The sequence below is a fragment of the Homo sapiens genome, chromosome 2 (genome assembly GCF_000001405.40).
Source record: "Homo sapiens chromosome 2, GRCh38.p14 Primary Assembly".
Taxonomy (NCBI): domain Eukaryota; kingdom Metazoa; phylum Chordata; class Mammalia; order Primates; family Hominidae; genus Homo; species Homo sapiens.
The window spans coordinates 114,517,333-114,532,119 of NC_000002.12; the positions used below are offsets into that span (position 1 = coordinate 114,517,333).

The 14,787-nt window shown below is 39.2% G+C and overlaps 1 protein-coding gene and 1 long non-coding RNA gene across 11 annotated transcripts in view; both read left to right on the forward strand.

The window, feature by feature from the left end:
* Positions 1-14,787, forward strand: part of DPP10 (dipeptidyl peptidase like 10) — a 1,403,140-nt gene that overhangs the window by 74,692 nt on the left and 1,313,661 nt on the right. The gene's annotated exons all lie outside the window — the stretch shown is intronic.
* On the forward strand, positions 791-3,885 carry LOC124907877 (uncharacterized). Its single transcript, XR_007087209.1, has 2 exons — positions 791-1,399; positions 2,939-3,885. It is a non-coding gene; the product is annotated as an uncharacterized LOC124907877 (long non-coding RNA).

Consider the following 14,787-nt stretch of genomic DNA (forward strand, 5'->3'; position numbering starts at 1 on the left):
CAACATGGTGAAACCCCATCTCTGCTAAAAATATAAAATTAGCCAGGTGTAGTGTCACATGCCTGTAGTCCCAGCTACTCGGGAGGCTGAGACAGGAGAATTGCTTGAACCTGGGAGACGGAGGCTGCAGTGAGCTGAGATCACGCCACTGCACTCCAGCCTGGGTGATATACAGTGAGACTCCGTCTCAAAAAAAAAAAAAAAAATTGTCTGTCTTCATGGTAAGATAATCAGGACTTTAAGGAAGTGTGTAAGACATTTTACTCATATTTTTATTACCAGTTTACATTATGGTTTCTAAGGCCATTATGTGAATCCAAATACCATCTTGAAATGAAAACACATTAAGCTATTTTTAATCTGCAAATTATTTGATCAGCTGCCTCAGATACATGAAGAATCTGATGGCAAGGGCACAGAATAGCTAAAGTTTAACGGGAAAGCTGGTACTATCCAAGTCAGTGAGGTGAACACCCAGCTGCAGAGCGGAGGCTCAGAAATGGTGAGTGCCAAGATGAATCAAGCCACAAAAGGAATGTGGAGGACCTCTGAGGTTTAGCTTCATATATTGGGCAATGTTTCTATAGGCAGTCATTGGCCTTTCGTCTTCGTCTTCTGCACCGATTCAGTCATTTCATTTGTAGAGTCTTCCTCAACATATTGTTTAAAAAAATTCAAGATTTTTCAAATTTGGTTTTAGGATTTCAAAAACAATCAGGACTAGTATGAGCTATTCATTTTTTTTTTTTTTTTTTTTTTTTTTTTAGATAGAGTCCTGCTCTATCACCCAGGCTGGAATGCAGTGGCCAATTTCAGTTTACTGCAACCTCTGCCTCCCAGGTTCAGGTGATTCTCCTGCCTCAACATCCTGAATAGTTGGGATTATAGGTACCCACCACCACGCCTGGCTAATTTTTGTGTTTTTAGTAGAGATGGTGTTTTGCCATGTTGGCCAGGCTGGTCTCAAACTCCCGGCCTCAGGTAGTCCACCTGCCTCGGCCTCCCAACGTGCTAGGATTACAGGCATGAGCCACCGTGCAGGGCCTATTCATTGTTTTTTTGTTAATTCTCTAAGGATTAACTTTTGGGCCATGTTGGACTGACAGATTCTGTCCTTTGCTCTGCTTATGTTTTCCCTTCTATTTTCAGGTAGTGATTAAGACTGTGAAGACAGAAGGTCTGAATTAGCAATTTTTCAGGCAGCTGACTTAATAATTTAGACTAAAATTCGTTCCAGGATGCTTGCTCACCTCCTGCATGTGGTGTCCTAGAAAGCCTCTTGTTTCTCCAGCTGTCCTCCCCGGCAGCATTGGCATCACCTGGGAGATTGCTAGAGATGCAGATCCCAGGCCCTCGCAGATCCATGGAGTCATCACCTGCATTTTAGCAAGAGTTCCAGGTGATTCGTGTGCACATTACAGTTTGAAAAATATTGGTAAATATTATGGTCATCATAGCGGGTTATCCAACTACTGGTTTTAGCTCTGCCACTATCTAATTGTGTGACCCTTTGCCAGTCAGCTCAGCTTTTCAAACTGTGTTTCATGGAGCTGTATCCATTCAGTTTATTACTCAGAGGCTGGGTAGTAAGGTCAGCAGCTCCCATCTGAGCCCTGAGCGACTCCAGTTTTATTAGTTTTTATCTGTTAGGCTTTAACTTAAGACACTGTTTGAAGAAAAGGTTTGCCTGTGAAAGAGATCGAAGGCCTACTGTCTCTGATGAGTCTTAAAGTCATTTCCTGATCTGAATTTTCTATGATTATAATATCATTCATTGATAGGAATTGTTTCCTTAGCGAAAAGGAAAAATCTCTTCATTTCTATACATGTGGCAGGTTGACATTTGTCAGGTACTGAGGCTGACAGACAGTTTAGCTACCTTTAGGAGGTTCCTTGATCAAAATAGAGAAACTTTGCCAGCCACTGAACTTCTCACTGTTTTCCTCATCTTAGCGACTTAATCCAGGCCTCACCCCATCTGTCACTACAGAAGAACTGTTTACGAGACCTCACTTTACTAGCTTTTATTTATTTTATCAGTGTTGGTTATTTGGGAGCAAACTGACCCTGAGCTATCCTTTGGCCAGTGCCATTCACTTTGCATACATTGATCTAAAAAGGCAATTGGGTTCCGAGGTCTGAGATACCCAATGATATTCTACATGTGACAAAGACATTTCCAGTCCTGCACACCCTGGTAACCTAAAGAAGGCCAAGCATCTCAATTAATTTTCAGTTGACAGTTTCTGCAGCTGAGTCCCCAAGTCAGAGTCCCTAAACAAAATTGTTTGCATTCTATAGGAAAATAGGACACATTATTAGCCCAGTTCTAAATCCAGTTCCATCTTTCCTCAAACAACAGCAAATGTTCTTCTCAGATTCATAGCATGGAGCATCATCCACTTTTAATGTTTTCCATCCACATAGCTGCATTGCCCTGTTACTTATTTACAAATTTATTGGCTTTAGATGGCATATTTTCTCCAAAGAACTCAGGCAGTTGAATGAGTTGTTTTAGAAGTCTACAAAATATACCCTTACTCATTCACCTGTGGGATTTACATGAGGTTATTTCACATTCCTCTTCATGTATTGCGATGGGGTTGTTATAAAGATACTCACACCTTTAAATCTTCCCAGTAGCACGTATATTTCTGCTTTCAAACACAACAACCAAGAAAAAAGAAAATTCTACTGAAACAACTGACCAATCTTCTTTCCTTAGAAAAATCAATCTCATCAGTAGCTCATGAAATTCAATTTCCCTGGTCAGGAACAAAGCAGATAATCATCCCCTAATAATATTTATGGATGACAGAAATGCAGAGCAAATAAAATTAGCCTCTAAAACTATCATCAAGTTCCTTGAAACTTTTTTCTTTATCTCAAGGGGATTTATGGAGTAATGGTAAGTGTGTTTTTCTCCATTTCTATTTAGGCCAACACACATCAGAGGCACTCAATAGATATCTGGTGAATGAATGAGGAGTGAGTAAATGAATAAAGTAAAATACAGATGACCCTCAATTTGGACATAATGCATTCCTAGAGACTGCTTCATAAAGGATATTGCTTAAAGGCAAAACACCGACTGCAAGAATGCCACCACTTTTGTCTGTAAAATTCATTACAAATTGACAGCAGATAAAGTAGCATATATATCTCTTCATTAGGTAACAGCAAATAAATGGAAAGGCAAAAGAGGGCCACAATGAAGCATGAACAATGTATAGAATTCTAGTAAAAGATGATTGCATAAGGACATTTTTACCTTGCTTCTCTTTATGAAAGTGTCCATCAATATGAAGAAAAAGAAGGGAAGAACCACCATCTTCTCCATGACAGCATGCCTAAAGCTAGTCTAATCTTCTCTCTGTCTTGAAAGGTTTTATGGATCCTGTGAGTCTGCTTATCACAGTCATTTGAAGAGAGAAACAACAACTGCCAATCATGAAACAGAGGATGTGTGAGATATGGGCTTGCTGTGAACCAAGATGATCCAAAGGGGATGCTGAAAGCTTAGCAGAACCAAATACTCAAATAGAAAAAATGTGGCTGATTTGCTTCAACAGCTTTCCGAGATAATATACCAAAGTGGAAACTGATAGCTTCTCCAGATCATACTTGCTCATTCTGTCCCCGATTCTTGGGCAGAACTCTGGTCTAGAGAGAACTTTCCTTATTCCAAGAAGCACCGTGAGCAGAAGACCTAAAACAAGACCCATAGAGTAAAGGGACATGGGAAACAAAATGGCAAATCTGACATCAGAAAAAAATGAAGAAGAAAATAAATAAAAAATATAGCCTTCATACTTTTAAGTAAAATGAGTGTAAGCTAGTTGCAAAAGACATAAAATTAATAAAAGATAACAACTTAATAAAAGATATCAAATCTAATCTGTCTCTCTCACATGCACAGACACACACACACACACACACACACACACACACACACAAAGTGTTGAAAGGATAATCAGGCAGGCCGATTTTAAGAAATAAATGTAAAAATAAAGTCATCAAAAACTGTCACCGCATTAAGAACCTAAAGGATTAAGAAAGACAACATAGAAAATAGCATCCATGAGCATAGAAGGCTTGAAATAATCACAGAAAAAGAAATGAAACAAAAAAATTAGAAAGCGATTAGATACAATATTATAGATATGGAAGTCAGACATAGAAGATACAAATTATGATATAAATTATAGTCTAAAAAGAGAAAAATATAACACAGGAAAATTTAAAATATTTGTTAAAATAACATCTCCTGAAATCAACTAAAACCAGAATCTTAATGTTAAAAAAAGGTCTATTGTGTTTTAGGAAAATTTTATGTGAAACATCTCCTGATGAATAGAAAGTCTGTGGCCATCCAAGCAGAAAAATCAAGCTAGTCTAAAATTCTTCATGGCAGAATTGAATGCCAGAACACAGAGGAAAAATTGTATAATTATAGATACTATTATCCAAGGTTTTTTTTTTTTTTTTTTTTTGAGATGGAGTCTCGCTCTGTCGCCCAGGCTGGAGTGCAGTGGCGCAATCTCGGCTCACTGCAAGCTCCGCTTCCCGGGTTCACGCCATTCTCCTGCCTCAGCCTCCCGAGTAGCTGGGACTACAGGCGCCCGCCACCGCGCCCGGCTAATTTTTTGTATTTTTTTTTTTTTTGAGACGGAGTCTCGCTCTGTCACCCAGGCTGGAGTGCAGTGGCGGGATCTCGGCTCACTGCAAGCTCCGCCTCCCGGGTTCACGCCATTCTCCTGCCTCAGCCTCCCAAGTAGCTGGGACTACAGGCGCCCGCCACTACACCCGGCTAATTTTTTTTTTTGTATTTTTAGTAGAGACGGGGTTTCACCGTTTTAGCCGGGATGGTCTCGATCTCCTGACCTCATGATCCGCCCGCCTCGGCCTCCCAAAGTGCTGGGATTACAGGCGTGAGCCACCGCGCCCGGCCTATCCAAGGTTTTTATACCCAGTCAAGCTGTTCTTCAATGTAAAGGCTATATACTAATAAGCAATCTAGGCTATAACACCCATGATCCTTCAAAAAACAAACAAACAAAAAAACCAGCTGATGAAAGAACCTAACCATAGAAGATAAATCAAAGAACTCTGGGTTAGAGAACTCATTGAATTGGTATTGAATCTATATATACTTAGAGATAGGACTAAAAAAACACTCTGGGAATTATGATAATAGAAATATAAATATTACAAATGTATTACTGCATCTTTATATTTTATTTTTCAATAATTATATAATCAGCAACTGGGGGAAGCAGTTAAGACTTTAAGTTTGGGGAGAAATGATGCCTCTGATTGGTCTTTTTGGGGTGTATTAATCCATTCTTAAGCTGCTGATAAAGACATAACAGACTGGGCAATTTACAAAATAAAGAGAGGTTTAATAGACTTACAGTTCCACGTGGCTGGGGAGGCCTCACAATCACGGCAGAAGGCAAGGAGGAGCAAGTCACGTCTTACATGGATGGCAGCAGGCAAAGAGAGAGAACTTGTGCAGGGAAACTCCTCTTTGTAAAACTGTCAGATCTCCTGAGACCCATTCACTCTCATGAGAACAGCATGGAAAAAACTTGCCACCATGATTCAATTACCTCCCGCTGAGTTCCTCCTACAACACATGGGATTTCAAGATGAGATTTGAGTAGGCACATGCAGCCAAACCATATTGGGGGTGTCTTAGGTTAGGTTCTCTCGAAACAGATCCTGAGACAGGAATTTGGGTACCATGGTTATTGAGTGAGTGCTCCTTAGAGGAAGGATGTGGATAAACAGGATGGGGAGACGTTAAATGAAGATGTGGTCTCAGCTTGAGTCCAGCTTCAGTCTGATCCCATAGAGAGTTCTGGAGCATAAATTGAACCACAGTGCTAGCCCCATTTTGAGGTGAGGGGCTGGACTTTTGTTCCCTCCTTTCAATCAGTCATTGACTGCAGGCTGTTCAATAGGGAAGGGATAAATAGGGGTGTAACTTTAGAGCTAGATGGCTCGACTTCCATGCTGGGTAATTCCCTGAAAAAGAGACAGCTGGGGGCTTTAGCACCAGCACCCACAGCAGCAGGGGTCTGGGTGCATCAGTCTGTGAAAGCGAATCTTGGCAGTTTCCCAATGGTGTCTCCTGTAGAGCATTGATAGCTCTGGTTGATGTTAGCTTTCCCTGTCACTGACTGGTCCTTTGTTATCCTTTATTATGGCTTATAAATGTCAGTTTTCAGTGTCTGAATGCATTTCACTGAGAGAAGGAAAGAAAAGAGGCGCTGTAGAGGGAAAAGGAAGTGGGGAAAAGCCTAGACTTTTTTTAAGGAGAGGAAATGTGCCAGTGAGCTTTGTGGAAGTTGTTTCAGCATGGAGCAGTTATACATGTTGCCAGATGTGGAGTCTCAACAATCTCAGAGGGTCAGCCTCTTTAGCTATGAAGTGTTGCTTTATGCCCTCCAGAAATTATCCCTCTCTCCCCTCCACCTGCTGCTCATCCCATCCCCCTTTTCTCTCTACTCACCCTAATGATCCATCTCACAAGAGATGGCATGTCTCAAATGGCAAGAACAGGAAGTGACAAACATAGACAGTGTTGGTAATATCGAAATGAAAAGAAATAATTGTCTCTGATTAAGATGAGACTAGAAAGACATTGACATTGCTCTTTGTAGCATGTACTAGGGAGCACCCAAATCTCTAAGAGAGGACTAAAGTGTGGCATTTTGCAAACTTACTTTACAATTGTACCCATTGTCTGTTGACTATTCAGTGGGAATAACATTCTACAAAAACATTCTTTAGCAAATGTGGATGTAGGCAATGAGATCCAGGGGGTTTTCAAGAAATACAGGTGAAGATGACATTTGTGCTTTAGCAATAACTCTTAAAGAAATGTGGAGGATGGGTTAGAGAGGAAACAGAATGTCAGGGAGGCCAGTGAGGGCTATTTCAGTAGTCTAAGTAAAAATATTAAAGTCCTGAACTAATCTTAGTAGTTATTAAAGCAACCTCCCAGATAACGCAGGATCCCATATCCCTGACAGAAGAGCCACTGATGCTTCTGTGTCCATGAAACAGCTAATAAAAACTGATGTTTGAGCCTAAGCATTAAGAATGTTTTCCTGATAGGGAGCTAAAATAATCTTTGAAAATCACACCCAAAATATTAGTCCTGCCCTTTGAAGCTATGCAGAACAGGTTGCTTGTTCACTAAGAAAAAGATGTATATATCAAGTGCTGTCTTACAAGTGGGAATACAAAGGTGAGGAAGGCATAGCCGTAGCTCTCAAGGAGCTGAATATCTAGTGAGAAGAAAAAGACATACTCAAGTTTTGTTGCAATAAATTTCAGCAGAGGAAAGCTATAGGGATTTTAGAGGAAGAGGTGAATGACTGTCCAGGCATGCTAAGAGGATTCATGGTGCCTTTATGAAATAATCCTTCTGATATAGGAGGGAAGGAATCAAGTCCATCCTACCCCTACCTCCTGTTTGTTTGTTTCTCAGTTTGCCCAGTTCTTGAACTTGTTCTTTTATTACATGAATCTAAATTTCATTGAATCCCATTCCTTCTTCCTCTGGAGATTTTGTACTTTTCCAATGTTTTTCTTTAAATGTAGGCTTCCAATCATTGGTCATTGTCTCAGCTGTGATCTGAGGAACGTAGAATTCAGCATAGTGTGCTGGGAAGTGGCAATGTACCCAAAATGTGTGTGGAAGGCTTGCCAGTATATTAGCAATACCTTCCCTCTACCCTTTGAGTTCTCCTTAGAGGTTTAACTCACTTTCTAAGCCTCCAGAAACTGTATCCTATGTTCCTTTATATTGTATTAGAAATAAAGAATTGGTTAAACTCAAAATAAATAGATGTTAGTGCATTAACACAAGCCTGTACCCATTATAAAAATGTATTTGGCAAAGAAGGTAATGTTTAACCCAAAGAAATATCCTTTAGGGAAGGGATTTTAGGCACCTTAATGTAAAATACACATTTGGTAAAGAGGCCCTCTTCAGTACACTTGAGTCACACCATATATTCAATTTCTGACTTCATAAGAGGCTAGGTCCTGATAAAAATATTGAAGGAACACATGTGTTAAAAGTGTAGTATAACATCTACTATTATTGGATGCTACATAAAAAGCATGGAGCTAAGCAATTCTCCATGTATTATGATCATGCAATTTCAACAACCACTCTATAAGATATATGCTATTATCTCCATTTTACAGATGAGGAAACTGAGGCTTAGAAGTATTGTTCGAGATCGAGTGAAAGAGGCCTAGTTTTCAGATCAAGAAATTTGATTCCAGTTTTGATTTTATCACTTACTGTGATTTTCGCACAAGTCATGTTACTATGTTTAACCTTTTGTTTCTCACCTGTAAAATGAAGGAAGATGACTAAACCATTTCTTGGGGCTGTTCCAGTTGTATGATTTTATGAACATCTCCATGAAAGTATCTTTATTTAGCAAATAGCCAAATCTGAGAAAAAGGCAAATTTATTAGTCTTTCTAGAACTCTTTAGCATCCTACCTTTACCATGAAGCATTACTCCACATTGGCTGGCCTGTATTCTTTCCAACTCCTAAACAGTAGCTCTTCTTTCAAATGTCTCCCTCTATTTAGGCACAAGCAAGGTGCTGAAAAGCATGAGAAATATGAGCATAATACAAGGAAATCGATAAGGTTAGGAATCTTCACACGTTTAACTTAATCATATCAGACACTGAAAACAAAGTCATATTTTATTGCCAAAGAGAAATGCTCTTTGGCAAACCATGATAGTAATCTGATTGTGAACAATGCTTATTCATCATTTCTGGGGCACTGGCTGCTGTGCCAGCCAAGGGGACAGCTGACCTAATGGGCTTGAAGTTGCATTCCTCAACATTAGTTATGTTGTTGTGTGCAATCACCAACACAAAGATAGTGTACATTGGTCAATCAGAAAATATGGGCTCCTTGCTTGTTTCCCGTTCTGTTTTTATTGACGATTGGGGGATAAATTGCACAGTGATAGCCAAGAGCATAAATTTTCTTTGTACTTTTATATAATCTTGTTTCTCATTTTACAATATCTGTATTTATTCCTAAAGTTGAGAAGAGGATCAGACATTACAAAACAATCTGGAAAAGGTATGGTAATAATCTAAAATATCCCATAGAAAACACCTTTATGTGTTGCCCTAGGTCACTGAGGCAGTTATAACAAAAAATACTATAGACTGGATGGTTTAAAGAAAAAAACAGTTATTTCTTGCAGTTCTGGAGACTGGGAAGTCCAAGCTCAAGATATGGCAGATTTAGTGCCTGGTGAGAACCTGCTTCCTGGTTCATAGAAGTCTGTCTTCTTACTGTGTCCTCGCATGATGGAAGGAATGAGAGAGCCCTCTTGGGTCTCTTTTATAAGAGCACTAATCCCATTTATGAAGTCTCTACCCTCATTACCTAATCACCTCCCCAAAGCCCCCATCTCCTGGTACCATCACTTTGGTAAGGGTTTCAACATATAAATTAGGGTGGGGGATACAAATATTTAGTTAATTACATGTGTATTTATGTCTCAGAGATGAGGAGGTCTTAGTTTCAAATAGTTACACCTATGCAATTATCATTCCAAACTTAACTTTTCCTGTAATCCTCTCCTTTTGATGTCATACCATTTGTACACTGTGTAAACAGTTACTCTGGGACATAGTCCATAATTTACACTCCCTTTTCCTTAATTTTACTTTGAGGTTCCTTCTCAGGGCTTCCTTTGGACTCTGTGGTTACCTCTATCATAACTCTTATCACATAGAATGAGATATAATTATGGTTGTGAGATCAATCTTTAGACGAGAGTTTATTGATTGTTTGTGACTAGCTTTGTGTTAAATGTGGGGTCACTAAATCCTGCATACACTTCTTTTCAACCAGGTATTGTTTCAATAATTCCCTCTATCTCTCTATAAAAAATTGAATTCCTTAAACCCGGGAGTCCTTATGGATCAGAGCAAGTGAGCAGCACATCGCATTCTACCAATTTAGCTTTTTTACAGAATCCCAGTCCAAATGGGACTATTCCGTAATGTTCTGTGGTCGTAACTGTTGTCCAGTGTGATTGGCCTGGTTTTCTTAGGCATGAAACATGATGTATTAATTATGATCTGAACAGTGAGCCAGAAGTTACTGTATCTAGTTTGACAGTATTAACATTTATGGCACATAGTTAAACAAGGACTTTTGATTCTGAGGTAGGAGGAGTTGGGAAGATATGAGCAGAATTTTTATACACGGGGGATTCTGATTAGAGGATCAACAATTACAAAGTATAGTTATGCACCGTTTAATGACAGAGATATGTTCTGAGAAATGTGTTGTTAGGCGATTTTGTCATTATGCAAACATCACAGAGTATACATACACAAACCTAGATGGTATAGCCCACTACACACCTAGGTTATATGGTACAGCCTATTGCTCCTAAGATACAAACCTGTACAGCATGTTACTGTACTGAATACTGTAGGCAATTGTAGCACAATGATAAGCACGTATATAAACATATCTGAACATAGAAAAGAAATAGTCAAAACATTGTGTTATAATCTTATGGGACTACCGTCATATATATGGTTTGATTTTGTCCAAAACGTCTTTCTGAGACACATGACTGTTGTCTCACACAATAAAGAGATAGAACCTTCATAAATGGAGAGTGGAGTGTCAATGCAAAGTGGGATTAAATCAGGAACTTACTTGAAGACGGAAAGAGGAGGAACACCTTCAGCACCATCTCTCCCATCCTTATCCCAAAACACTGATGACTTTACAGCCACCTCCCATACACACTGCAAGCACAGGGCACTGCAAGAAGCTGTGGTTACAGAGGAGACACTGCCTAAGGGATCAGTCTGAGTGCCACTGGTATCTTATGGAAATACAAGCCAGGGACTATCATAGTCAATGGAAGAGGATTCGTGTTAATGTCCCACAGTCAGCCAGAAGTGCTTGTGACTCTATGCATAGGCACAGTGCCTTTGAAAATTGACTTTCAATCACTTTGTGAGAGTGAACACTGTTACTGCAGGGTCTAGCTGCTCCACCCATTGTTCTAGATGGGAGATAAAACAGCCTAACTCTAGCTGGATGCTCAGTCCAAACTCTAGGATGAGGGTCAAGGCAGGGACTGCACTATTCATTCATGTTTGCTTTTCTGGGACTCCTATAACTGATGCCTTGGATTTGTGGGATGGTTGGTTATGACCAGTGGCTACACCTGAGGAACTCACTGTAGCTTGATGGTTCATATAGATTTGAGATTACCAAAATGTTATTCAACATTCATACTAGATGGTCTTGAATATACTTCAAATTCAGCATGTTCTCATCTGAACTCACATCTCAACATCACCACACTGTCCCTTTCCTTTTTCTTATATTTTCAGAGTATCAGTATAAATCTCATTGCACCAGGCAGAATCTGAGGAGAAATCCTTGCAGCTCCTTCTTCCTGATTCATCATCAAAGCCTACTGATTTTGCCTCCAAACCATTCACTTCTGTTCCTCTTTACATATGGACAATGGGAGGAACTGACTAACCACTTGGGCTTGTCATTCTGTTTGACCCCTTTCCCCAGATGTATTCTTTGTCCTCTGCCCTATTCTGCCTTGACCTTGACTTATGCCCTCCAAGTGGGTCTGGCTGAGAAATAACTGGCAAGAGATGAGCATTGGGAAGGGGAGATAGGAAAATATTTATCTCCATCTCTTGCTTTGTCAGCTCTTCTGGTTGCTACTGCCCCTACCTGCCAGGCTTTGGTAAACTGCCCCTCTCCTTGTCCCTTCAAGCTATGATGTGGTGCGCCAATGGCTGAGTCTTCCTTTTTGACTCCTGAATTTTGCTCATATCTGTGTTAGTGACTCCTTTGCTACATTTTCTTTAGGCCAACCACTTTTTTTCTTGAAGAACGCTGGACAACCCACTATTTTTCCCATACTCATGTTGCCCACTTCAAAACTGCTCTTCATCCTCTAGAGAGTGGTCTTTTAAAGGGTAAATTTGACCATCACTTTTCTGATTAAAACTCTCCAAGGGGATCTTGTTGATCTTAATATTGACAGAAATAGCTCTAATGTGGCCCACAGCCTGTATGAGCTGACTCCTGTCTGCTTCTCCATTGTCATCTCTTGTCACAGTCACTGGGTTCCAGCCATGTTGCTCTTTTATTGTTCCTTGAAATTGCCATGGGACCTCCAGTTTTGAAGGTCTTCTTTAATTCTTCTGTTTTCAGAAATTCTCTGCTCCTTTCTTGCCTCCTCCCATCCCTAGCCTGCAATTTTATAGGAAGTGTTACATTCCTTTTTAAAAATTTTTATTTTAAATTCAGTGGTAGATGTGCAGGATGTGCAGGTTTGTTCCATAGGTAAATGTGTGTCAGGGGGGTTTGTTGTACAGATTATTTCATCACACAGGTATTAAGCCTAGTGTCCATTAGTTGTTTTTCCTGATCCTCTCCCTCCTCCCTCCCTCTGTCCTCTGATAGGCCCTGTTGTGTGTTGTTCTCCTCTATGTGTCCATGTGTTCTCATCATTTAGCTCCCACTTACAAGTGAGAACATGTGGTATTTGGTTTTCTGTTCCTTTAATTTGCTAAGGATGATGGCCTCCAGCTCCATCTATGTCCCTGCAAAGAACATGATCTCATTCCTTTTTTTATGGCTGCACAGTAGGAAATGTTACATTCTTAGAGAAAATCTTCCTCTTCATGACACTTTATGACATTTCTGCCACAGGAGTTTGATTCTATAGTTAATATGTTCTCATAACACCTTATATCTTTGCTCCAAAGCATTTATGATGGAGTATAATTACATAGAATTGTTTCATTGATATAAAATAAGTTCCAGTGTGTGTGGAAGGATGTTCTGTGCCTTGTTTTTCATTTTATCTGTAACAATTTGCACAACTTGTGGCAAATGATTATCATTTTATAATAGTTATTGGGTAAATAATTAAAAAGTATCTCTAGCTAAGGCCAACCAGGACAGCAAAAATAAAACTAAAATGAAGAGCACTTGAATGAGACAGCAACAGCAGTGAAAGTAGCCTTCCATGATTATTATCGAAATATCTGTTGGGAGTTAAGCTGAAAACTGACTTGAGGAGTTTGGGAATAAACATAGCCCACAGTCAGAGGAAGGGGCTCATTCAAAAACATTTAGTTGCTCTCAGGTCAACGATAGGTCTCAAATTCCATTTTTCACGAGCATCCACAATAAAACCTCAGAGCACAAGCCAATAACTCAAGTACTCAAATGCCCTCCAGGGTTCCTTCCAAGTTGCTCTGCTGACCTGAGCTCATTACTTTTATATAATGATTGCAGCAGAAGCATCTATGGAAGTACTGTCTACAATGAGATAGTCAAAAAAATACTAAGGAGATAATTACAGTATTAATTCTTAAGTTTTGCAGAATTAATTAAACATAAAAAATATTATTTTGGAACATCAAGTTTGGATATATGGTGACAAAACAAAACCACTGCTGGCCAGTGAGAACTTCTAGGGAATCTATATTATACATTTTTACATTATGTGAATTTGCATAAGTAAATTATCCAGAATAATTTACTCATGTCAATTAACAGAAAAAAAAACATGACTTAATTAAAATCTCATTACAGGAACTCTCTTCAATCAATAATTTTGGAAAGTGACAGACAAAGATGGTCCACAGGGGGATACATGAGGACAAACATAGCTTTAGATAAGACTGTGTTTGCACCCTAGACTGGAATGTCTCTTCCTCAAACATGTATTAAGCCATTCCATTTACTGAGCACCTCTTATATTCTAAGAACTGTACTTGTCATCGTGGTGGGGGAAGGGAGGCATAAATAAGCTGTGATACTTGGGACAGGACAACCAAAACCTAGTTTCCTTCAAATAGGACTTGAGTCACTCATAGAAGTCTTTCCTAAATATTCCGGTCTTCAAGAATTTCTCTGAAGACTTCTAAAAAGTACTGCTTATGTCACGTGTGAATCCTTTCTTGATGATGATGATGATAGAGAAGTATTTATTATGAAAGAAAGAAAGAGAAGGAGAGAGAGAAAGAATTGACATGAGCCAATTCCCAAAATAAATCTTTTATATATATATGTATATATCTCTCCCTATATATATCTATGTATACCATATATATATATTTATATGTTACAGATAAAATGAATACATATATATGTATTCATATATATATTTATATGTTACAGATAAAATGAATACATATATATATATACCTATACACACATATCTCCTATTGGTTCTGTTTCTCTTGAGAACCCCGATTGATACATAGATAGAAGAGTGTATGTAAAACGGAAGCAAATAGATCTTCATGGAAGATCAGTTGGGTATGAAAGCAAAGAGCTATGAAAAGTATATGATGCTTATTTGCTTATTGTTACTTGTACAGATTTTGATATGTATTATTGTAATGATTACTTTTATGTCAACATGACTGAACTAAGGGATGCTCATATATCTTGTGAAACACTATTTCTGGGTGTCTGTGAGGATGTTTCTGGAAGAGACTAGCATATGAATGGGTAGACAGCATCAAGAAGATTGCCCTCCCCATTGTGGGTAGGCGTCATCTAATCCACTGAGGGGCGAAATAGAACAAAGAGGCTGAGGAAGGGAGAATTTGCTTTCCGTTTGAAACATCCATCTTCTCCTGCCTGTAGACGTGGGTGCTCCCAGTTCTCAGGTTTTTAGACTCGGATCAAAATATATGCCATCAT